The sequence below is a fragment of the Homo sapiens genome, chromosome 5 (genome assembly GCF_000001405.40).
Source record: "Homo sapiens chromosome 5, GRCh38.p14 Primary Assembly".
Lineage (NCBI taxonomy): Eukaryota > Metazoa > Chordata > Mammalia > Primates > Hominidae > Homo > Homo sapiens.
Genome location: NC_000005.10, coordinates 154,000,402 through 154,026,972, shown reverse-complemented (window position 1 = coordinate 154,026,972; position 26,571 = coordinate 154,000,402). Strand labels below are relative to the sequence as shown.

The following is a 26,571-nucleotide window of genomic DNA, read 5'->3' as shown; positions in this document are numbered from 1 at the left end:
TTCTTTAAATTTAAACAAAAAAGGTTAACAAAGAGGTCTTAATAGGACATGTGTTATTTTTCCTTCGTTTTGGTCTTTTTTTTTTTTTTTTAGTTTCTTTGGCCTAGGCTGCCAAGAAACCTGTTGACTTGAGCTGCCAATTTGTGTACAGTTACCTGTTAGCTTTTAATTGATTTAAGATTATCTAATTTTTTTGTTATTTCTAAGCTGTTGCTAAACACTGATAATTTCCAGGAATTTCTGGCTGGTATTACTTTTAGAAGCACAGAGTCTCCCTACCTTTCTGTCATAACCAGCCTCTTGTGTTAAGGTTCTTAAGGAATAACTTGTGCTGGCTGATGAGCTCATAATTTTGACTTCAATATGATCTTTTTATAGTCTCTTCCCTATTTGTGAATGTTTTTCTTTTCTTTCATACTCCTACAACATTTTGTTCTTGTATCCATTCAGGTGAAATCTATCCTTAATTCTCTGAGTGGAGAAGAATTAGAGACTCTAAAAGTTGAATTAGAGCAACTCAAAGAAACATTTTCTCTAGCAGAATTTTGTGAAGAAGAGGAAGAAGAGAAAAAAGGTAATATGAAAATTTAGTATCTGAGTGGAGAGGATGCAGTGTGTTTGTATGCAGTGCATTGCCCTTGAAATAAATTATTTACTCTTATTACACTGGCTTGATTTTACTTTTTTGGTGAAAATTTTTATGCAAATTCTCTGTGTAAAATTCTCTGCAGCCTTGCACCTGACTAGGCATTGATGGGGGCAGTTGGCCTTATGCCCATGTCTCCCTGCCTCCTTCCAACCAAACCCTTTGTGGCTTCTCAAGGTCTAATCTTGCAACTCACATCTTTGCCTATTTTTGCAGTTAGAAAGCTGTTCTCATCAGATTCTTGCCTCAGTTTGACTGGTCATTCATATGAGCTTTCATATTCCTAGGTACTTTACCTCTGCCTCTCTGACTCTTGTAACCCCTGATTCTGTCTTGAATTGAAGCATGCAGGATGGCAGTTATCTAAAATGTGGGTGATAGTTTGTCTTTTTTTATTTTGAAAACTCTTATACCATATTTTAATATCTTCATTTCTCAGAAAATGTAAATGTAGATACTATGTATATTTGCAAAATTATCAGGAAATGAGATGGGTCAGGAAATGAGATGGCTGACGTAAAGTATAATTGCCAGGCAACTGAATATTAAGTTCTAAGGGTTGTTTTATTGACATTTTAGCTGGAAATATTTCTAAGATATACACTAACTGACCTTTTTTTTTTAAAAAAGTGGAATCTAATGAATACAGTTTTGCCTTTTCTTCATGAAATAATCAGTTATAAACATTAAAAGTGAATGGAAAAATTCTCTCAGGTTTCATTAAGACATAGGGCCAATCACCCATGTAGTAGGTTAAATCAGTGATGAACAAAGTGTGGTCTGTAGACCCTTGAATTCCCAGAACCCTTTCAGGGAGTCTATGAGTCAGAACTCTGCATCATAATACTAAGATGTTGTCTACTTAGGAATTTTTTAAAAATTATAATGAGTTTTTTTTCTGCTTTGGCATTTGTGCTGTTGGTGAATAACAATGATGCATAAAATTGCTGGTGCCATAACATGGATCAAGATGTTAGCAGACTCTACTAGTGTCATTGCATTTTCATTGCCATGCATTGGCAGTTAAAAAAAAAAGTGCCAGTTTTATTTAATCTTGTCCTTGATGAAGCAGTAAAAATTATTAATTTTATTAAATCTTTACCTTTAAGTATGCATCTTACAAATATTCTGTGTGATGCCTACTGAAGTATGATGGTTGTCTCAGGAAAAGCACTTACATTATTTGAGTTGTGAGCTGAACTATGTGCTTTTTTCGTGGAATACCATTTTTACTTGAAAGGATAACAGTCACAGAGACTATTCAGAATAGGATAATTGGTACACATTTTCCTGAAAATGAATGAAGTGAACCTTTTCTTCAAGGAGAGCAACTAATTTATTTGTGAGTCATGATAAAAATTTAAGTGAAGGTTGAAACTTTGTAAAACATATTTGCTGCTGTGGTGAGCTTGACAGCTTCCCAGTGCTTATAGACTCTTCTTATGAAATTGGTGGTGATCATATTTGTTAAAATATCACTTTTTGATATTTTAACAAGGAAATGTGTCAGCATTTGGAAAGTCTGCATAACTCAGAGAACCAATATTTTCTAAATGTCAAATCACCATGGGTAAAAGACCTAATGGATTTTAATTTAGTGTACAAAATTTTATGATATGGTTTCAGGTATACTGCAATATGGTTCATTGCAACTAATTTTTAAGAAACGACCACTTGTTGAGTTTTAATGTGGTATTAAAGAATATTAATAATGATCTGAAAAGGCTATTAAAATACTTCTTCCCTTTCCAACTATGTATCTTTGTAAAGTTGGATTTTCTTCATATACTTAAAGCAACATAACAGACTGAATATAAAAGTAGATAAGAGAATTTAGCTGTCATCTGTTAAACTAGATATTAAAGAGATTCAACCCTGATGGCACTGTTCTCACTAAACTTTTTCTTTTTTGAAAAATATAGTTTTTTAAAATAAAAAGTAGGTTTATGTTAATAAGTGGTATGGGTTTACTGTTTTGAATGAATTAATAAACACTTTGTTTTAGCTTTATATAAATATTTATAACTTTTTATATGTATATGTATAAAACTTACACTAAAAAAGCTCTTTAATGTTCTCAGAAAGTTTTACAAGAACAAGGTCCTGAGACCAACAAGTTTGAGAATTACCAGATTAAATGACCTAAACTGCAATGCTTTTTAGAAATGTCTCTGATTGCTTTTTAGAATTGTACATCTTTATTTCTTTCTGTTCATTTATCTGTTCATCTTTTACTTCACTGTTAGCTGGCTTCTGATATCCCCTGAATCTTATTTGGTTTTCTATTTCTAATCTGTGGGTGAGAAACCAGGTAACTAATTTTATTTGAGATGTCTATTAAAAGCAAAGAGCTCTGAGTGAGGGTCTTAGAGTCTTTCTTGTGACAGGAAACATAAAGTTAACTGTGTGGATTCTCTACAAACAGGGACTTTTTTTTCTTTTTCTTTTTAAATCAGTTAAGGAGAAGAAATATACATGTATATCATTTATAATTACATAGTTATCTTTACCAGTGCTTTTTGTCTTCTGTTTTTTTCAATTTTTTTTATTTCCATAGGTTATCAGGGAACAGGTGGTGTTTGATTACATAAGTTCTTTACTGGTGATTTGTGAGAATTTGGTGCACCTATCACCTGAGCAGTATACACTGCACCCAATTTGTGCACCTGAGCAGTATACACCACACTCCCTTCCCATCCTTTCCCCCTGAGTCCCCGAAGCCCATTGTGTCATTCTTAAGCCTTTGCATCCTCATAGCTTAGCTCCTACTTGTGAATGAGAGCATATGATGTTTGGTTTTCCATTCCTGAGTTACTTTACTTAGAACAATAGCATCCAGTCTCATCCAGGTCGCTGCGAATGCATTAATTCATTCGTTTTTATGGCTGAGTAGTATTCCATCATGTATATATATACCACAGTTTCTTTATCTACTCGTTGATTGATGGGCATTTGAGTTGGTTCCACATTTTTGCACTTTTGAATTGTGCTGCTTAAACATGCGTGTGCAAGTATCTTTTTCTTTTTTAAATTATTTTATTAGTATACTTTAAGTTTTAGGGTACATGTGCACAACGTGCAGGCCTGTTACGTATGTATACATGTGCCGTGTTGGTTTGCTGCACCCATCAACTCATCATTTATGTTAGGCACTTCTCCCAATGCTATCCCTCCCCCATCCCCTGACCCCACGACAGGCCCAGGTGTGTGATGTTCCCCGCCCTGTGTCCAAGTGTTCTCATTGTTCAGTTCCCACCTATGGGTGAGAACAAGTGGTGTTTGGTTTTCTGTCCTTGTGATAGTTTGCTCAGAATGATGGTTTCCAGCTTCATCCATGTCGCTACAAAGGACATGAACTCATCCTTTTTTATGGCTGCATAGTATTGCATGGTGTATATGTGCCACATTTTCTTAATCCAGTCTATCATTGATGGACATTTGGGTTGGTTCCAAGTCTTTGCTATTGTGAATAGTGCTACAATAAACATATGTGTGCATGTGTCCTCATAGTAGCATGATTTATAATCCTTTGGGTATATATCCAGTAATGGGATCACTGGGTCAAATGGTATTTCTAGTTCTAGATCCTTGAGGAATCACCACACTGTCTTCCACAATGGTTGAACTAGTTTACACTCCCACCAACATTGTAAAAGCATTCCTATTTCTTCACATCCTCTCCAGCACCTGTTGTGTCCTGACTTTTTAATGATCGCCATTCTAACTGGTGTAAGATGGTATCTCATTGTGGTTTTGATTTGCATTTCTCTGATGACCAGTGATGATGAGCATTTTTTCACGTGTCTATTGGCTGCATACATGTCTTCTTTTGAGACATATCTGTTGATATCCTTTGCCCACTTTTTGATGGGGTTGTTTGATTTTTTCTTGTAAATTTGTTTAAGTTCTTTGTAAATTCTGGATATCAGCCCTTTGTCAGATGGGTAGATTGCAAACATCTTCTCCCATTCTGTAGGTTGCCTGTTCACGCTGATGGTAGTTTCTTTTGCTGTGCAGAAGCTCTTTAGTTTAATTAGATCCCATTTATCTGTTTTGGCTTTTGTTGCCATTGCTTTTGGTGTTTTAGTCATGAAGTCCTTGCCCATGCCTATGTCCTGAATGGTATCGCCTAGGTTTTCTTCTAGGGTTTTTATGGGTTTAGGTCTAAGTCTAATCCATCTTGAATTGATTTTTGTATAAGGTGTAAGGAAGGGATCCAGTTTCAGCTTTCTCCATATGGCTAGCCAGTTTTCCCAGCACCATTTATTAAATAGGGAATCCTTTCCCCATTGCTTGTTTTGGTCAGGTTTGTCAAAGATCAGATGGTTGTAGATGTGTGATGTTATTTCTGAGGCCTCTGTTCTGTTCCATTGGTCTATATTTCCCGTTTGGTACCAGTACCATGCTGTTTTGGTTACTGTGGCCTTGTAGTATAGTTTGAAGTCTATATGATGCCTCCAGCTTTGTTCTTTTGGCTTAGGATTGTCTTGGCAATGCGGGCTCTTTTTTGGTTCCATATGAACTTTACAGTAGTTTTTTCCAATTCTGTGAAGAAAGTCATTGGTAGCTTGATGGGGATGGCATTGAATCTATAAATTACCTTGGGCAGTATGGCCATTTTCACGATATTGATTCTTCCTCTCTATGAGCATGGAATGTTCTTCCATTTGTTTGTGTCCTCTTTTATTTCGTTGAGCAGTGGTTTGTGGTTCTCCTTGAAGAGGTCCTTCTCATCCCTTGTAAGTTGGATTCTTACGTATTTTATTCTCTTTGAAGCAATTGTGAATGGGAGTTCACTCATGATTTGGCTCTCTGTTTGTCTGTTATTGGTATATAAGAATGCTTGTGATTTTTCAACATCGATTTTGTGTCCTGAGACTTTGCTGAGGTTGCTTATCAGCTTAAGGAGATTTTGGGCTGAGACAATGGGGTTTTCTAAATATACAATCATGTCATCTGCAAACAGGGACAATTTGACTTCCTCTTTTCCTAGTCGAATACCCTTTATTTCTTTCTCTTGCCTGAGTGCCCTGGCCAGAACTTCCAACACTATGTTGAATAGGAGCGGTGAGAGAGGGCATCCCTGTCTTGTGCCAGTTTTCAAAGGGAATGCTTCCAGTTTTTGCCCATTCAGTATGATACTGGCTGTGGGTTTGTCATAGATAGCTCTTATTATTTTGAGATACGTTCCATCAATACCTAGTTTATTGAGAGTTTTTAGTATGAAGGGCTGTTGAATTTTGTCAAAGGCCTTTTCTGCATCTGTTGAGATAATCATGTGGTTTTTGTCGTTGGTTCTGTTTACGTGATGGATTACGTTTATTGATTTGCATATGTTGAACCAGCTTTGCATCCCAGGGATAAAGCCAACTTGATCTTGGTGGATAAGCTTTTTGGTGTGCTGCTGGATTCGGTTTGCCAGTATTTTATTGAGGATTTTTGCATTGATGTTCATCAGGGATATTGGTCTAAAATTCTCTTTTTTTGTCGTGTCTCTGCCAGGCTTTGGTATCAGGATGATGCTGACCTCATAAAATGAGTTAGGGAGGATTCCTTCTTTTTTTATTGATTGGAGTAGTTTTAGAAGGAATGGTAACAGCTCCTCTTTGTCCCTTTGCTAGAATTCGGCTGTGAATCCATCTGATCCTGGACTTTTTTTGGTTGGTAAGCTATTAATTATTGCTTTAATTTCAGAGGCTGTTATTGCTCTGTTCAGAGATTCAACTTCTTTCTGGTTTAGTCTTGGGAGGGCGTGTGTGTCCAGGAATGTCTCCATTTCTTCTTGATTTTCTAGTTTATTTGTGTAGAGGTGTTGATAGTATTCTCTGATGGTAGTTTGTATTTCTGTGGGATTGGTGGTGATATACTCTTCATCATTTTTTTATTGCATCTATTTGATTCTTCTCTCTTCTTTGTTAGTCTCGCTAATGGTGTATCAATTTTGTTGATCTTTGCAAAAAATCAGCTCCTGGATTCATTGATTTTTTGAAGGGTTTTTTTGTGTCTCTATCTCCTTCAGTTCTGCTCTGATCTTAGTTATTTCTTGCCTTCTGCTAGCTTTTGAATTTGTTCGCTCTTGCTTCTCTAGTTCTTTTAATTGTGATGTTAGGGTGTCGATTTTAGATCTTTCCTGCTTTCTCTTGTGGGCATTTAGTGCTATAAATGCAGTGTTCTACACACTGCTCTAAATGTGTCCCATAGATTCTGGTACATTGTGTCTTTGTTCTCATTGGTTTCAAAGAACATGTTTATTTCTGCCTTCATTTTGTTAGGTACCCAGTGGTCATTCAGGAGCAGGTTGTTCAGTTTCCATGTAGTTGTGCAGTTTTTAGTGAGTTTCTTAATCCTGAGTTCTAATTTGATTGCACTGTGGTCTGAGAAACAGTTTGTTGTGATTTCTGTTCTTTTACATTTGCTGAGGAGTGCTTCCAACTATGTGGTCAATTTTGGAATAAGTGCAGTGTGGTGCTGAGAAGATCCAGTTTCATTCTCCTACATGTGGCTAGCAATTATCCCAGCACCATTTGTTTAATAGGGTGTCCTTTCCCTACTTCATGTTTTTGTTTGCTTTGTGAAAGATCAGTTGGCCTTAAGTATTTGGGTTTGTTTCTGGGTTCTCTATTCTGTTCTATTGGACTACGTGCCTGTTTTTATACTAATACCATGCTGTTTTGGTGACTATGGTCTTATAGTATAGTTTGAAATCAGGTAATGTGATGCTTCCAGATTTATTCTTTTTGCTTAGTCTTGCTTTGGCTGTGTGGGCTCTTTTTTGGTTCCATACAAATTTTAGGATTGTTTTTTCTAGTTCAATGAATAATGGCGGTGGTATTTTGATGGGGATAGTGTTGAATTTGTAGATTGCTTTGGGTGGTGTGGTCATTTTCAAAATGTTGATTCTACCATCCATGAGCATGGGATGTGTTTTCATTTGTTTGTATCGTCTATGATTTCTTTCAGCAGTGTTTTGTAGTTTTCCTTGTTGGGGTCTTTCACCTTCTTGGTTGGGTATATTCCTAAATATTTTTTTTGCAGCTATTGTAAAAGAGGTTGAGTTCTTGATTTGATTCTCTGCTTGGTCACTGTTGGTGTATTGAAGAGCTACTGATTTGTGTACATTAATTTTGTATCCAGAAACATTGCTGAATTCTTTTATCAGTTCTAGGACTTCAGAGTTTTCTAGGTAAACAATCATCAGCAAACAGTGACAGTTAGTTTGACTTCCTCTTTTTTGATTTGGATGCCCTTTATTTCTTTCTCTGATTGCTCTGGCTAGGACTTCCAGTACTGTGTTGAAGAGGAGTGGTGAGAGTGGGCATCCTTGTCTTGTTCCAGTTCTCAGAGGGAATGCTTTCAACTTCTCTCCATTCGGTATTATGTTGACTGTGGGTTTGTCATAGATGGCTTTTATTACATTGAGGTATATGTCCCTTGTATGCTGATTTTGTTGAGAGTTTTAATCATAAAGGATGCTGCATTTTGTTGAATGCTTTTTCTGCATTGATTGAGATGATTGTATGATTTTTGTTTTTAATTCTGCTTATGTGGTATATCACATTTATTGCCTTTCATATGTTAAACCATCCCTGCATCCCTAGTATGAAACCCACTTGATCATGGTGGATTATCTTTTTGATATGTTGTTGGATTTGGTTAGCTAGTACTTTGTTAAGGATTTTAGCATCTATACTCATCAGGGATATTGGTTTGTAGTTTTCTTTTTTGGTTATGTTCTTTCCTGGTTTTGGAATTAGGATGATACTGGCTTCATAGAATGATTTAGTGAGGGTTCCCTCTTTATCTTGTGAAATAGTATCAATAGGATTGGTACCAATTCTTTTTTTAATGTCTGGTGGAATTCTGCTGTGAATCCGTCTGGTCCTGGACTTTTTTTTGTTGGTAATTTTTAAAATTACCATTTCAGTCTTGCTGCTTGTTATTGGTTTGTTCAGGGTATCTAATTCTTCCTGATTTAAGCTAGGAGGGTTGTATCTTTCCAGAAATTTATCCGTCTCCTCTAGGTTTTCTAGTTTATGCGCATACAGGTGTTCATAGCAGCCATGAATGATCTTTTGTATTTCTGTGATGTCAGTTTTAATGTCTCTCATTTCGTTTCTAATTGAGATTATTTGGATTTTCTCTCTTCTTGGTTAATCTTGCGAATGGTCTATCAATTCTATTTATCTTTTCAAAGAATCAACTTTTTGTTTCAGTTGTCTTTTGTATTTTTGTTTGTTTCAACTTCATTTAGTTCTGTTCTGATCTTGGTTATTTCCTTTCTTCTGCTGGGTTTGGGTTTGGTTTGTTCTTGTTTCTCTGTTTCCTTGAGGTGTGACTTTAGATTGTCTGTTAGTGCTCGTTCAGACTTTTTGATGTAGGTGTTTCGGCCTATTTAACTTTCCTCCTAGCAGTATCCCAGAGGTTTTGATAGGTTGTATCGCTATTGTCATTCAGTTTGAAGAATTTAATTTCCATCTTGATTTCATTTTGACCCAGAATCATTCAGGAGCAGGTTATTTAATTTCGATGTATTTGCATGGTTTTGAAGAGTTGATTTCTAGTTTTATTCCACTGTGATCTGAGAGAGTGCATGATATAATTTCACTTTTTTTAATTTATAGAGGCCCCTTTTGTGGCCTATCATATGGTCTGTCTTGGAGAAAGTTCCATGCACTGTTGAATAGAATGTATATTCAGCAGTTGTTGGGTAGAATGTTCTGTGTATATCTGTTAAGTCAGTTTGTTCCAGGGTATAGTTTAAATCCATTGTTTCTTTGTTGTCTGTTTTGATGACCTGTCAAGTGTTGTCAGTGGGGTGTTAAAGTCCCCCACTATTATTGTGTTGCTGTCTATCTCATTTTTATTTTATTTATTTATTTTTTTTGAGATGGAGTTTCGCTCTTGTTGCCCAGGCTGGAGTGCAATGGCACGATCTCGGCTCACCGCAACCTCTGCCTCCCAGGTTCAAGGGATTCTTCTGCCTCAGCCTCCTGAGTAGCTGGGATTACAGGCATGTGCCACCACGCCTGGCTAATTTTGTATTTTTAGTAGAGACGGGGTTTCTCTATGTTTGTCAGGCTGGTCTTGAACTCCCGACCTCAGGTGATACACCTGCCTCGGCCTCCCAAAATGCTGGGATTACAGGCGTGAGCCACTGCACCCAGCCTATCTCATGTCTTAGGTCTATTGGCAATTGTTTTATAAATTTGGGACCTCCAGTGTTAGGTGCATGTATGTTTAGGATTGTGATATATTCCTGTTGGACACTGCCTTTTGCCATTATATGATGTCCCTCTTTGTCTTTTTTAATTGCTGTTGCTTTAAAGTTTGTTTTGTCTGATACAAGAATAGCTACCTCTGATTGCTTTTGGTGTCCATTTGCATGGAATGTCTTTTTCCACCCCTTTACCTTAAGCTTACGTGAGTCCTTATGTTTTAGGTTAATCTCTTGAAGGCAGCAGATGGTTGGTGAGTTCTTATCCTTCTTGCAATTCTGTGTCTTTTAAGTGGAGCGTTTAGGCCATTTACATTCAACATTACTTTTGAGATGTGAGGCACCATTCCATTCATTGTGCTGTGTTGCCTGTACACCTTGTTTTTTTTTTTTAATTGTATTTTTGTTTTATAGGTCATGAGATTTATGCTTTAAGTAAGTTCTGTTTTGATGTGTTTCCAGGATTTGTTTCAAGATTGAGAGCTCCTTTTAGCAGTTCTTGCAGTGCAGTTCTTGTACTGCTGGCTTGGTAGTGGCAAATTCTCTCAGCATTTGTTTGTTTGAAAAAGACTGTATCTTTCCTTCATTTATGAAGCTTAGTTTCACTGGATACAAAATTCTTGGCTGATAATTGTTTTGTTTGAGGAGGCTGAAGATAGGGCCCCAATCCCTTCTAGCTTGTAGGGTTTCTGCTGAGAAATCTGCTGTTAATCTGATAGGTTTTTCCTTTATAGGTTACCTGGTGCTTCTGTATCACAGCTTGAGATTCTTTCCCTTGTCTTAACTTTAGATAACCAGATTACAATGTGCCTAGGCGATGGTCTTTTTGCGATGAATTTCCCAGATGTTCTTTGAGCTTCTTGTATTTGGATGCCTAAGTCTCTAACAAGGCTGGGGAAGTTTTCCTCGATTATTCCCCCAAATGTGTTTTCCAAACTTTTACATTTCTCTTCTTCAGAAATGCTGATTATTCTTAGGTTTGGTCATTTAACATAATCCCAGACTTCTTGGATGCTTTGTTCATATTTTCTTTTTCTTTTGTCTTTGTTGGAATGGGTTAATTTGAAGGCCTTGTCTATGAGCTCTGAAGTTCTTTCTTCTGCTTGTTCAATTCTATTGCTGAGACTTTCTACAGCATTTTGCATTTCTGTAAGTGCGTCCGTTGTTTCCTTAAGTTTGGATTGTTTTTTTATTTATGCTATCTCTGTCATTGAATATTTTTCCTGTCACTTCTCATATCATTTTTTTGATTTCCTTAAATTGGGCTTTGCCTTTCTGTGGTGCCTCCTTGATTAGCTTAATTACTAACCTCTGAATTCTTTTTCAGTTGAATCAGGGATTTCTTCTTGGTTTGGATTCATTGCTGGTGAGCTAGTGTGATTTTTGGGGGTGTTAAAGAACCTTGTTTTGTCATATTACCAGAGTTGGTTTTCTGGTTCCTTCTCATTTGGGTGGGCTGTGTCAGAGGAAAGGTCTAGGGCTCAAGGGTGTTGTTCAGATTCTTTTGTCCCATGGGGTATTTCCTTGACGTAGCACCCTTCCCCCTTTTCCTAAGGATGTGACTTCCTGAGAGCCAAGCTGTAGTGATTGTTATCTCTCTTCTGGATCTAGCCACCCAGCAAGTCTCCCAGGCTCCAGTCTGGTACTGGGGGTTTTCTCCACAGAGTCCTGTGAACTGTCTGTGTGGGTCTCTCAGCTGTGGATACCCGCACCTGTTTTGCTGGAGGTGTCGGGGACGAAGTGGACTCTGTGAGCATCCTTGGCTTTGGTTGCTTAATGCACTATTTTTATGCTGGTTGGCCTCCTGCCAGGAGGTGGCACTTTCAAGAAAGCATCAGCTGTGGTAGTATGGAGAGGAACAGGCAGTGAGCAGGGCCCTAGAACTCCCAAGAGTATATATTCTTTGTCTTCAGTTATCAGGGTGGGAAGGGCAGGGTTAGGTGTGTCTGAGCTCAGACTCTCTTGAGGCAGGTCTTGCTGTGGCTGCTGTGGGGAATGGGGATGAGGTCCAGGTCAATGGAGTTATGTTCCTAGGAGGATTATGGCTGCCTCTGCTGTGTCATGCAGGTTGTCAGGGAAGTGGGGGAAAGCCAGCAGTCACAGGCTTTTCCATGCAACCCAAAGGGCCAGTCTCACTCCCACTGTGCCTGCTCCCCAACCACACTGAGTCTGTTTCCAGGCAGTGGGCAAGCAGGGCTGAGAACTTGCCCCAGACTACCCACCTCCCAGCTGTGAAAGCAAGTAGGACTTTCATTTTTCCCCTGCCTGTGGAGTCCACACACTGGATTCATGCCCTCTCCTGAGTTCTGGTCAGGAGACTTCTCCATCAGTTCAAATTGTTGCGAAGTTCAACTGGAGGTTTCCTTCTCCCTGTGGCCTTTTCCCAGTGCCTCTGGCCATCCTCCCCAAGGACCCCTGTGAGGCAAGATGGAAACTGCTTGCTAGGGGACCCAGCGAGCCCACAGGGGTTTTCCTACTGCTTCCTCTACCCCTGTATTTCACTTGGCTCTCTAAATTGACTCAGCTCCAGTAAGGTCAGATTCATCTCCCTTTAATCTAGACCCTCAGGTTCCCCAGTGGGGTGTGTGTTCTGGGGTAGATGATCTCCCTTTCCACTTCCACACTATTTGGGCACTCACAGTATTTGAGATGTCTCCCGGGTCCTGCAGGAGCAATCCACTTCCTTCAGAGGGTATATGGGTTCTCTTGGCCTTCCTGATATATTCCTGTAGTCATTCTGGAGCAGAAGTTTACGATGCGAGCCTCCACGCGCTGCTCTGTCCATCCAAGTGGGACCTGAAATCTCTTCCTGCCTCCTGTCCGCCATGATCTCTCCTACTTTCAGGACTTTTTCTTTTTTGTTTCCATTTCTGTTCTGCATTGTGTCCTAAGAAGTCAAACTGGCTGGTTATATAGCATCTTGCTAAATGATACCTTATTCTATGTAAAGGTACTTGTCCTGATTGGAAAACGGTTCTTGAATACAAGTTTCTAAAGCTGCCTTGAGATATTGAGAAGGCAGTATAGCATGGTGAATAAAAGGATGGGTTTTGGAATTAGACTTGGATTCAAAATCAAGATCTGCCATTTACTAAGCCATGTGACTTTGAGAAGTTACTTAACATTGAGCTTCTGTTTCCTAACCTGTAAGAAGAGTATGCTAATTCCTCTCAAGTAATAAGGATTAAATGAAATACTATATTTAATATGTGGCATATAGTAAGCACTCAATAAATGTAGCTGTTATTACTTTCATTATTAGGAGGGCATAAATAAATAGGTAAAAATATGCATTTTAAAAGTCTTAGCAGGAAACCAAGAAATTAATTTTGATTTTCTTAAGTTGCTCCATTGTTCCTAATTTCCTAATCAAGCCTTGACATGACAGTCCTCAGTTATTTATAAACTTATTTGTTTGTAGTGCCATTAACAGTATTTGTTCAATTTACTCAACATCTGGCTTTGCATAGTAATCAGAAATCTCAGTCTTTAAATACCATTCAGAGAACTCCAAGTAGTTTTCTAAACAGATGGATTTGTGTCTATGATATTTTTTTCTCCTACTTGTTCACCAGAGATCAGAACTCTGAAAAGATAGCACTGGATTCCCCCCACCACTCACTGTGCCCCAGCCTTCCCCAGTGATTTTGGTTGAGAATGCAATAGTGACCTTAGTATTTAATTATGTCTCTATGAAGCTGTTTTTTAAAAAAGTGGTGGTATCAGAGGGGAGAGAATACCATAGAAACTGGTTCTGGTTATGATGTTGGTTATCTTCATTTTCCATGAGCATCCTGGGCTCTTGCCCCTCTACCATATGTACCTGACTCCTTTTTTCAGAAGGAGTCTTCCAGCCCCTCTCCAGAGTCCCTCCAAAGCACTAAACCAGTCTCTTTTCCATCCTTACACATTTTTATTCTAATGCAATAACTACTTTTTCTACTCAATTCTAAACAGTAGATGACAGTAATCTTCAAAATTTTTTTATCACAACTCTAAGCAGTGTTTCACATTCAGACATAATATGTGGGTATTTGGATGTTTATAAATTATATAATCTGTAAATTCATATAAATTATATGTGAATATAAATAATTTATATGTAAATTATATAAATTATATGTACTACCATAATAATGTATAATTAACATTCTAAAATATACCCTAAAATAGAATTTTTAATAGAATGAGATAAATCTCTATAAATAAAAAAGTCCATTTTTTTTCCTGCCCTCCATTGAATTATTTTGTGAACCTCTTTGGGTATATGCATCCCACTATGGGTTCAGATTCATCCCTTGTATCCAAATTATAAATTACTTGAGAAAACAAAATGTCTACCTAAATAGTAGGATATTATTAGCAGTTGTTTAGATGAGTTATGTAGGAAGAGTTGTATCAGTTAGTGAGATCAGCTTTTCCCAAACCTTATTATACCTGAGATCACTAAATCATTTAATTCTCTGCCTTAAACACCAAGAGAGAGGGACAAAAGGATAGTGGATGGAGAGAGAAGAGCCAAGATACACTGTTTTATTCCTGGGAATATTAGGGAAGATGCTGAGTATGAAGCAGTAATGATTTGCCCTGGCAAACTATAGTGAATTAAGAAATATTCTATAGACTGTAAATAGATTGCTAGAAGATTTCTATGTACAAGAGTTCTCTTCTGCATTCCATGTTGCAGAGAAGCCTTGGGCTGGACCACAAAGTGGGGAGTGTATAGGATTCAGATGAGTGGAGAGGGAAAGAGAGCATTTCGCACTGATTGGATTTGCTAATTGCTTTTTGATCTTGAGTCACCCATTTGCTTGCTTGTTTCTTTGTAAGTGTTCCTGGTTCTCCATCATCTTTCACAAGACTAACTCCAACAGCTTCCTTACCATCCTTCCAACGTTCTGGAATCCCCTTTGCTTCTCTTCTTTTTATTTTTAATTATTATGGATGCATAATGATTGATCCTTTTTTCTTCTTATCCACCATTTTGTCTTACCTGGATCCTAGATTATTGCCTCAGCCTGCCTCTCTTCTTTTCCGCCTTCTAATCCATTCTCCACCCAGCCACCAAAGTGATCTTTCTAAAATTTAAATGTGATTCTGTTTCTGCTTAAAACCATTCAGTGGTTCCTCACTTCCTCATTATAAAGTTTGAATTCTTCACCATCGATTATATGGCCTTTATTATCTGGATCTTACCTTTCTAGCTTACCACTTCTCCCCCTTACGTTAGATATTCTCAATCATATTAAACTTCTTCCCATACTTTCTTTCACCTTTGGCTTTTTACATTTGTTTCTCTGCCTGAAACTCTTCCTATTCTCCTGGCTAACTTGTACTCAAGTTTGATGTCCCAACTTAAACTCCACTTTCTTGGAAGCGCATGTACAGTACTTGCTTAGTCTATGCTGTCACCATTTCTATATTCTTGCTCTGGATATAATGCAAAAAGCACAGCACAGGGTTTGGACTGGGAGTAGGAAGACTAAGGTTTGACTACTAATCTTTGCTATGCAGTCTTGGGGAAGTCACTTAATGTCTTCAAGCCTTTATCACTTCATCTCTAACATGGAATAATGGCACTTTTCTCTCAAGCCCATTGAAGCATTTATTGATATACGTAAAAGGATTCTATAAGCACTAAAGCACCATGCTCATGTACATTACTGCTGCTACTATTGTTATTACTACTACTGTCACTGCTATTACCACTCCTCTCCTCTTCCTCCTCGCCTGCCACCTCATGATCCTCAGCAGTCTTTCTGGAGTGTTTTATATGGGACTTGGTTTTTTAGGGGATGAAGATTTTACCAAGGACATAACAGAGCTGTTTTCCCAGCTGCACGTTTCCTCCAAACCAGAGAAACTTGCCAGGGTAAGTTATTGCTTCTTGGTGATTTTCATTATTTTACTTGTAAAAATGTAGTGGATAAAGAGCATAAGATTATAAATTCCTGGCAGAGGTGTCACCAAAATCGAAGGTATATTCTCGTTATACCCAGAATTGGGTTCTGCATCTACTTGCCTTCTGCTCCTCCAGGTTAGTGTGTTGAAGCCACATCTGCCCCACAACACGTGTCCCATCCTTACCTGTTTTCATTTGGGATGCTTTGCTTATCTGAAAGCTTAATTTAGTCTACAATGTTGGTCATTAAAAGTTGGCAGTGATGACCAGCCTCATGATTCCAGTGGGTGAGCCTCTGTCGAGGACTCACTGTTCTCAGGGATCTGAATGATTTAGAGATGATATGTGGCCTTGCCCATAGGGATTAGAGGTTGTCATTACCCAGAGCCCAGTGACTCAGATAATGACTATTTGGCGTGTGGAAATGAGAGAGTATTATGACCAAGGCCCTTATTTTTGGTGCTGATTCTGGAACTATTTTCTTATATTTGGAATGTGGAGAGACTTTAATCAAAGCTCAGAGTGGGTAGGGAGGTTCTGTGGCAAGTATAAGCCAGTGCCTGCTCTTGGGACACTGTTCACTGGGTCATGGATTGCTTGCTACCTCTTTACCCACCTCTACCAATCTTGAGAAGCATTTCAGGACCAGTCAGCTGCAGGTGCACATTGTTTCCTGGCCAGGGAGAGGTGAGAGCTATTGCATAGTCAACCCAGTCACCTTGTCTCCATCCCCCAGGGCAAAAACTATGATGTTTGGTGTGTTATCCCACTCTCCTATGCCCATCGAAAATGCTGCATTCTCTGAAAAAGCTCTTTTAGATCATCCCCAGGCAGCTCATCTCCCTCACCTCTACTGTAACACTTTACTAAAGCACTTTTGATCTTATAGTGCTTTTTATTTTGGAAATAATATCAAACTTAGAGAAAAGTTACAAGAGTAGCACAAACAATATTTGTATACCTTTTATGCAAATCCAGTACTGTTAATACTTACTTCATTTGCTCAAACATTTGTGCTTTCACATGTGTTCTTTCTCTGTGTAAATACATGTATACATATATAGATAAACACTTTATTTTTGTAACTATTTGAGAGTAAATTGTAAACATTATTGCTCTTCTAAATGTTTCAGTATGTGTCTGCTAAGGATAGGGATATTCCCTTACATAACCACAGTGTAGCTATCAACTTCAGTAAATTTAACATTAGTACTTTTGTTGTACTAATTTGTTGTAATCTATTTTCCATATTTCAGTTACATCAGTTGACCCAATAATGTCCAATAATACCAAACTTTTTCCTCTACCACTGGAGCCAGTACATGATCACAGATTGTATTTAGTTGCCATGTACTTTTAGTTTCCTTTAATCTAAAATAGTTCTTCAGTCTTTTTTTGTCTTTTTGTCTTTTATGACGTTGGTGTTTTTGAAAAACAAGCTTTGGAGTTTCTCTAATGCTTTCTCATGATTAATGTCAGTTTATACATTCCTGGCCAAAATACTCCATAAGTGATGGTGTGTCCTGCCCAGGGTATCACATCTAAAGGTACATGATATCCATCTGCCCCTTATTGGTGATGTGTTGTCTGATTTTGTTCTGTACAGTTAAAGTTTATTTTCCTATCTTGCTAATAAACTTTCTGTGAGGAGATACTGTAAGACCATACAAATATCCTGCTATTCATCATAATTTCTCTTCTAAATCTAGCATTTATTTATGATTCTGGCACCAATATTTAATGTGAAGATTTACCAGTTGGCTTTCAGCATTCTAGAATAGTCATGACCTCTCCTTTCTCCCCCATTTTGTTCTTTTTTTAATTTGTTATCAGTATGCTTTCATGGAGTTCTGCTTTTCCCCCATTGGCTTGTAATTCATCACTGTCCTTAATTATTTTGATGTTCAAATTTGTCTTTCAAGCTGGCTCCTAGGTGGCATGCCTCCATCATTTTTGGGTGCTTCCTTATTTTCTGGCATAACAAGATATTCTAGACTCATCTTATGCCTTCTGTGCCCCAGCCCTGCAACCAGACATTTCTTTGAGAAAGCATGATTCATTCCCTTTTGGTTTTATAGACCAAGACATGAGTACTAAGTGTACTCATTGCCACTGGCATGGCTTTGATTCTAGGCTGTCAGCAGAGCTGGAAAATATACTCAGGTACATATACACCTATATGTGTTATGTTTGTAGATACATATGTGCACGTGTACACCTATATGTATTTTAGAAATCATGACTTCACACACAGTATAACTCCAATTTTAATCCATCCCTACAGGGTTTTTCCTTGCCTTTCCCCATTACACATTTGTATCTCCCTTCTACAGTAGGAACCTTGTCTCCCAACAATATTAGCACATTTCCTTAATTATGAGATGTATCTGAAATGGTTTTATTGCTTTGCCTATACTATAGATTGAGTATCCCTTATCCAAAATGCTTGGAACAGGGAAGTGTTTCAGATTTCAGATTTTTGTTTGGATTTTGGAATATTTGCATACACACACAAATAAACACACACACACACACATACACATATAGTGCTGTATCTTGAGGGTACAATCCAAGTCTAATTACAGAATTCATTTATATTCATGTATACCTTATACACATAGTCTGAAGATAATTTTATACAATATTTTAAAAAAATTTGTGCATGAAACAAAATTTTCAATTCATTTTGACTACAACCCATCATATGAGGTCAGGTGTGGAATTTTTCATTTGTGGCATCATGTTGGCACTCAAAAAATTTCAAATTTTGGAGAATTTTGGATTTTCATATAAGGGATACTTGACCTGTACTACAAAAGTAACCTACAAAAAATTGTTTTATTTGCTGCCCTATGTGTTAATTTTATTTTTGAATATGTACAGTATTAATACGCTTCCAAAAATCAAACTGCACAAAAAATATACTCAGGTCTCTCCATCCCACTCCCCTTCCACTCCATTCACCTGTTTTTATAGGTATTCATCTTTCTTGTTTCTGGCTTATCCTTCCTGAGTTTCTTTTTGTAAAGATAAGCAGATATATTTTCTTATCTCCTCTGATGGAAAAGTCAACATACTATATTTGTTCTTTAGCGCTCTGCTTTTTTCACTTAGCCTTGTGCATAGGTATTTTTATAAATTTATTATAGTTTTTAAAAAATATGTGTATCTTACCTCCTATCCTGAAGCTTAAATTTCTTGAAGGCAGGATCTGTACATACCTACTCCTTAAAATTCCAGCTCTACTACCTATTACTTTCTGTGTGACCTTTGGCAAATTGCTTGACCTCTGTGAGCCTCATTTTTTTCTATCTGTGAGGTGAGTTGTAATAATGTAGAGTTCCTGTGAGGTTTAAATGTGTTCACACACATAGCTCTTACAAAGGGCCTGGCTCATAGTAAATAAATGCTCACTGTTGATGGCTCCACAGAAGACAGCCCGATGTCCTCTACATGTAGCTGTTCAATAAATATACATATGTGTTCAATAAACCTTTATTATGCTTAGTAATTTGCTAGGTGCTAGGGAAATAATCATGAAAAAGACATAGTTTACATGCTTAATGAGAGATCACATTAATACGTATTTTTGTAAGGCCAGTAACTCCTTATCTGTCTGGCAGTTCTCGCCATTCTCTGAAAGCAATCTTCAGATTGTTTAAATTTTAGGCATTGAGACTTAAGATGTAGATTGGTTAAGGATCAAGGCCTTAACCATTGGCCCTCAAAAGATTTATATGGCAGGCTGTGATGTAGGGGAAAGAGCACTGAATTAGGAGTCCGGGAATATGATTCTGTGATTCTGATTCTTGTTCTAATACTCACATGTGGTGTGGCCTGGGGCAAATTCATTTTCTTCTGTGGGCCTCATTATTTTTCTGTTGGAAATAAATAAGCTTTTGGAGAAGCCAAGTTCAAAGGTACCTATTGAGATCTGCAGATCTCAACAAGTGGGAAGTTCCAGACTGAAATGTGGTCGTGGATGACATTAATTATTTTGGGAAAGGATAATAAATTACCTTGAGTTGGCACAATAGTTCATGATGATTTCACTTAATATATTTATTACAAGAGAGGTCACTTTGGGTATGCTCTATGCCTACTAAAATATCTCCTGGCCAGGCGCGGTGGCTCACGCCTGTAATCCCAGCACTTTGGGAGGCCAAGGTGGGTAGATCATGAAGTCAGGAGTTCAAGACCAACCTGGCCAAGATGGTGAAACTCCGTCTGTATTAAAACTACAAAAATTAGTCAGGCGCAGTGGCAGGTGCCTGTAATCCCAGCTACTCGGGAGGCTGAGGCAGGAGAATAGCTTGAACCAGTGTGGCAGAGGTTGCAGTGAGCTGAGATCATGCCACTGCACTCCAGCTTGGGCGACAGAGTGAGACTCCATCTCAAAAAAAAAAAAAAAAAATCTCCTTTGGGTATATTAAATTTATGGTATCCGTTTTTTCTTTTATGTGGTCTATCACTCTCCATTTTTCTTTTTTAATCTCTGATAAATTAATCCTTCATTTTTTTACTCAATTTGTCTCTTCAAAGATATTGCAAAGAATTTAACATATTGTTTGTATTATTAGTCAACTGTTATGATTCTTTCCAGCCTCATCTCTCAGTGTTCTCTTCTGTAAACCTCACTACTCCAACCTAATTTTCTGTCACACTCCTCATCCTCTATATTCTTCCTTACTGGCCTTTATTCTGTTTCTCAGGTGTACCAAGCTGATTTCCCTGTGCTTACAACTCTCTTTGCCTAACTATTTGTATGGCCAATTCCTTCAGATTTCAGCTGAAACATAACTTTTCAGAGACCCTTCCTGACCACCCAAACTCAAGCCACCTTCTACCCATACCCACCGTTACTCCATTTTATTTTCTTTATGTATGTTTTTGTTTGTTTGCTTGCTAATTGCCTTATTAGGAGAGAGAAGAGCAGACTCCTAGTTTGTATTATTCACCATTGAATCCCCAGCACTGGCACAGTGTTAGTATATATTTGCAATAAATGAATGAGTAAAATGCCAGTATCCTATATTTTGGTCTTGCTAGATATCTCACTGTTTGCCTACACACTTTGCATTTTTCTGTTTCCAAGCCTTTATATAGTTCATGCTGTTTGGTGTTTTGAATTTGAGAGGTTAATGCTTAAGTAATGGGAAGGTATAGATCAGAGCTAGATTGTTCCTGAATGTTTTTGTGGGAGGATATAGGGAAAGAACCCTACAGTGAAATTCTGGGAACACAGGTCTGCTTTAGCTCATTCGGGTAGCCTTGGGTGTAGCCCCACTTGCTGATCCTTCAAGGCCTAACTCCAGTACTGTATGTGTAATAAAACCTGTTTTCTCAGTTAGAATGACTCTCAAAGTCTTCTCTGGATTCCTATTACCTCATGACAGCTTTGAACACATTCTGTGTATGTAAAGTTAATAAACTAGGTGGTAATAAACAGTTTCTGAGAAACCAGGACTCTTTCACTTGCAAATGACAGAAACTCAAGTTAAGAAACTTAAAAAATAACAGAAACTAATTTAAAAGAGGGGAATTCAGTAGCTCAAGAAAATAGAAAATCAAGGAGCAGAACTGGCTTCAGGCATGGCTCTATTCAGGAACCTATCTCTATCCCTATCTGTGTCTTTCGGCTTGCTTCCTTTTTGTTTTGGCTTCATTCTTAGGGAAGCTTTTCCATATGGTGGTAAAATGACCATTGGCAGCTTCAGGGTGGGTGACTTTTTTCCATTTCGGTAACTCTTACTGAAAGAACACTTCTTTTTGCTGATAATTTTACCAGATGTCCTGAGACTGATGTCCATTGATCTGGCTTGGGTTACTTTTTAATCTATGCACCACTTACTCTGTGGACAGGGGTATTAGTATTCTCAGTAGCTAAATCTGAATGGTTTGCCAACTTTTGGAGCCAAAAGATGGAAGCAGCTGCACCCAGGTCACATGAACTAAGGAGAATCTAGAACCTGCCACCAAAAGAAAGGAGATATGGGTGCTGGTCATATCCATATCCAAAACAGTAGATGTTCTTCACAGTGTGCTGGACACTGGGTGTGCAAAGCCAAATAAAACACTCTCTAGCTATCCTATAATACATAGTTTAGTTAGGAAACAGATAATTCTACTATATTTGGTTAAGTTCTGAATTTAAGTTACCTGAAAGAGATGATGTCTGGGTAGAGGATTGAAAGAACAAGTACAGTAGAGGTCATTCTTACCAGAAGATAAAGTGGAAAATGATAAGAGATGAGGCTGGAAAAGTAGGTAGGGTCTAGGTCATGGAGACCTGTTACATCATGTAAAGAGCATGATCTAGTTGATGAGGAGCCATTGAAGGAAAGAGGAATGGTCAGCCCTGGGCTTAAGACAGATCACTGGTAGCATTTTGGAAGATAGATTTAAGATAAACAGATCAGAAGCAGAGAGACCAGTCATGAAGTGGATCTGAACTCAAGTAGTGGTAATAGGGAGGAGGAAGACGGGAAGAGGATGATGAGGGGCTTGGATAAAATCAGACCATCTTGGTGATTGGTTGGAGAGGAAAAAAATCTAAGATGGCCCCTATATTTTGGCTCAGGTAACTGGTACCTGGTGGCACCTCTAAAACTTTGGGAAATAAAAGAGGTTGAAAAATTTGGGGTAAGAAGAGAAAGACAATGAGTTCAAAGTTTTTATTTGTTGTATGTGTGATGCCTGCAGAGTATTTTGTCTAGCAGACATTTGGAATAAGTTTTCAGGAGAGGTCAGGTCTAGAAATAAGGATCTAAGAGTCAACAGCAGGTTGAGGATAGTTGAAACCACTGGCATAGGATGGATGGAGAGGGAATAGGATGAGACGAGTAAAGAGTGAAGGCTAGACCTCCAAATAATATTGGCGTTTAAGAGACTGGCCAGTTAGGATCAATATATAAAAGATACTGAGGAGAAATGGTCATAAAGGTCAGAGGAGAACAGAAGAAAGTTGGGGTTACAAAAACCAAAGAAAACTAGATTCATTATCAGGAGAATGGATAAATTGTGATATATACAATCATGCATTGCTTAATGATGAGGATATGTTATGAGAACTGCATCATTAGGCAGTTTTGTCATTGGGCGAATATCAGAGAGTGTACTTACACAAACCTAGCTGATGTAGCCTGTTACACACCTAGGCTATATCGTTTAACCTATTGCTCCTGTACAAAACTGTACAGCATGTTACAGTACTGAATACTGTAGGCAGTTGCAACACAATGGTATAGAAAAGGTACAGTAAAAATATGGTATTACAGTCTTACAGGACCACCATTATATATGTGGTCTGCTGTTGACCCAAACATCATTATGTGGTGCATGACTGTATATAAAATGAAATACTACACAGCAGTTAATATGAATGAACTAATACATGCAGCAACATGGATAAATCTAACAGACATTATGTTGTGCTTAAGCCAGACACAAATTAGAATGAACTTATATTTCTATTTTTATGCATTTTAAGATTAGGAAAAATTATTTATAGTGAGCAGAAGAGGGTTTGTCTTTGGGCAGGAGGAGGGGGACATGGTTTGAATAGTATTGGCTAGGAAGGGACATGAAGGGACCTTCTAGGGATGAGGAAATATTCTATATCTTGATCACGGTTTCGTAGGCATATACACATAAAAACATTTCTTAAGCCATACTCTGAAGATTTGTGCACTTTATGTAAATTATACCTTGGTTTTTTAAAAAGCTGATTAGAGGCCGGGCGCAGTGGCTCATGCCTGTAATCCCAGCACTTTGGGAGGCTGAGGCAGGGGGATCACCTGAGGTCAGGAGTTCGAGACCAGCTTGGTCAACCTGGCGAAACCCCGTCTCTACTAAAAATACAAAAATTAGCTGGGCGTGGTGGTGGGCGCCTGTAATCCCAGCTACTCGGGAGGCTAAGGCAGGAGAATCGCTTGGACCCAGGAGGCAGAGGTTGCAGTGAGCCAAGATTGTGCCATTGCACTCCAGCCTGGGCAACAAGAGCGAAATTCCATCTCAAAAAAAAAAAAAAAATACTACCAATTAGAGAATTTTGAAAAGGAATGATGGACCACAGTGATAAGTATTGCTGAGACTAGTAGGATAAGGACTGAAAAGCTAGATGGTACGTTCAGGTAAGAACAGGAGCCCTTACTTCTAGGATGCTATTGTGTTCCTGGTAGGTGCACAGTAATTTTGGTAAACTGAATTGAATTGTTGATGGCCAATATTTTTCTTATTTAGGCAAGAAATACCGCCCACGAATGGATCAGGAAGTCTCTGACCAAGCCATTAGCAGAGAATGAAGAAGGAGAAAAACAGTCGGAAGCAGAAAATACTGAGCAAGTCAACAAAAATTCAATAGAGGTAGCCAAAGCAACTAAGCCTTTTTTGTTTGTTTTAGTAGATTTGAAATGTGTCACAATCAGGGACCCAGGCTCCTATTTTTACACTGCTGTCCGTAATTTCAACCTTGTGATCTAGGATTGTAGCATCTTAGATCCAGACTATAAGATTAAAGGAGGAGTGAAGAAAAAAAGAGAGAAAGGATGCGCGTGTGTTTTGTCATGAGGAAGGTTCCCAGAAACTGCTGCCTGACACTTGTTATCTAAATCATTTGGCCAAAACTTAGTTACTTCGTCACACCTGACTTCAGGGGAGCCCAGCTGTAAAATTATATCACTACTGTGGAAGAAGAAGACACTCTTTATTGGAAGGCAACTATTAGTCTCTGCTACAAATCCTGTAGTATGAGAGAAGTAAGGTGGTATCTTTCCACCAAATGTTTTGTTTTGCTATGCTTTGTTTTGTTTTTCCATCCAGGATATCCATGCGTTTGCAATCCGGAGCCTGGCTGAACTGACTGCCTGCTCAATTGAACTATTCCACAAAACAGCTGCATTGGTTCTGCATGGCAGGAAGCAGGAAGTGACAGCCATAGAAAGGAGCCAAACTCTTTCCCAGTAAGTGTAATGAGAATTCCTCTAAATGATGCAAATTGCAGGAGTTTTCTTGGCCTGTTTCCAAAGTTTTATAAACGTCTCTCTCAAGAAACCATTCACGTCACACCCATCCACATATTAGATGGTTTGTTCATTTTGGTTGTTTTTTTCTTTTCATTGAACCATGATAAATCAATATTATAAATATGCCCTTTTTATTAACCAACTCATGCTCTGAAGACTATTTCTTTACAGATAAGTTTTAATAGGAATGGAATTTGGTATAAGTGAAAACAGAGAAGAGTTCTAAGAACCTCAGTTCTTAATAATAGTTATTATTGAGTGCTAATTTTATACCATTCCAAGTGCCATGCTAAGGGATTTGCATGTATAATTTCTAATTTTTATACCTCCAAAAGTAAGTAATTAGTCCAGTTTTAATCATGAGGAAATGCAAACTGGAGGAGTTAAGTAATCTGTCTGTGCTGTATGGCCTGGGATTTAGCCCCAGGTCTGACTGAGTGTCCTGAACCCATTCTTTTTTTCTCATTTTATTGCTGATTTGTACAAAAATTTTTCAAAAATAGTATAGATAATCATAGGTAGGGAAGAAAAAGCCCAGTAGTTTCTAAGCAAATGTCCTGATTAAAATAATGAGAATTTTCATTGGAAACAAATGTATAAGAGTGCCCATTATTAGAACTGGGAGGGGCTGTCAGTCTTCTGCAGACTTCCTCTTTACTTGCACCATCACCATCCCACTACAGCACCCCATAATAGGGGGCTAATTTGTCTTCTTGAACTTCCTTAAGGATGAGAGACTCACAACCCTAAAAGGAGCCTGTTCTGCGGAAAAGAGGCTATTTCTGCTACTTGGAATGTTCTTTGAAATGGGGTTCACTCCCTCTCTGAATTCAAGTCTACTCAAATGCCACCTTTTTAGAAAAGCCTTCCTTCACCACAAAGTCTAAAATAGCAACTTCCACCATTCTCTGTCCTTTTACTCTGCTTTATTGTCTTAGCTTATATCACCAAGTAGGACTTACATGTATATGAATATATATGTGTGTATATGTATACATATGTGTGTATGTGTATATATGTATATGTATATAGTCTCCCCCTTAATTTAGCAAGTAAGTTGAAATCCATGAAAACTGGGACTTTTCTTGTTCACTGATATGTTCCCATTGCTTGAAAGACTTTAAATAAAATCTGGCACACACAAGACTTTAGGTAACTATTATTAAAGATGGACTAATCACTTACTTTTGGAGTTGTTGTAAAAATTAGAAATGATACATGTAAATCCCTTAGCATGGTGCCTGGCATAAAATTAGCACCCAGTAACTAATAACTAATAACTAATAACTATTATTAAGAACTGAGAATTAATTAATACATATTTTAACTTTTCTAAATGGAATGTAGGGTATTTTGAGTATGATGTTGTCTCCTTAAAATGTATTTTAATTATTTTCTATTTGATTTAACTGGAACATATACTGCTTTCTAGAGAATTTTGTAGAGAAATGTTTTTCTAAGGACTGAACTTCCTTTTTATGTAGCATGAGTGCCTGCTCAGATGGGTCTTCTTATACCTCAGGTGGCTGATTTAGGCATACAGTAGTAACCCCTTATCTGTATGGGTTATGTTTTAAGTCCCTAGTGGATTCCTGAAACTGTGGATAGTACCAAACTTGATTGCCGTCATTTGGAACACATTTCCATTCATGTCTTCCACCCACAAATTTAATGCCTTTTCCGTCTTTTTAAAAAATATTTTACTGATACATAATATATATATATGGGGTACATGTGAGTGTTATATGCATAGAATGTATAATGATGAAGTCAGAGTATTTGGGGT

At 37.9% G+C, this 26,571-nt stretch overlaps 1 protein-coding gene across 15 annotated transcripts in view; it reads left to right on the top strand.

The window, feature by feature from the left end:
• FAM114A2 (family with sequence similarity 114 member A2) overlaps positions 1-26,571 on the top strand; it is a 48,763-nt gene that overhangs the window by 11,938 nt on the left and 10,254 nt on the right. For 13 of the 15 annotated variants that reach the window (NM_001317995.2, NM_018691.4, NM_001317993.2 and 10 more), the window contains 4 exons: positions 451-574; positions 15,653-15,732; positions 24,004-24,126; positions 24,583-24,722. In NM_001317995.2, coding sequence (NP_001304924.1) covers positions 451-574; positions 15,653-15,732; positions 24,004-24,126; positions 24,583-24,722 — 467 coding nt within the window. Of the gene's footprint in view, positions 1-450; positions 575-15,652; positions 15,733-24,003; positions 24,127-24,582; positions 24,723-26,571 lie in introns of those variants that run through there. The other 2 variants (XR_007058573.1, XR_007058574.1) reach the window with 1 other exon arrangement.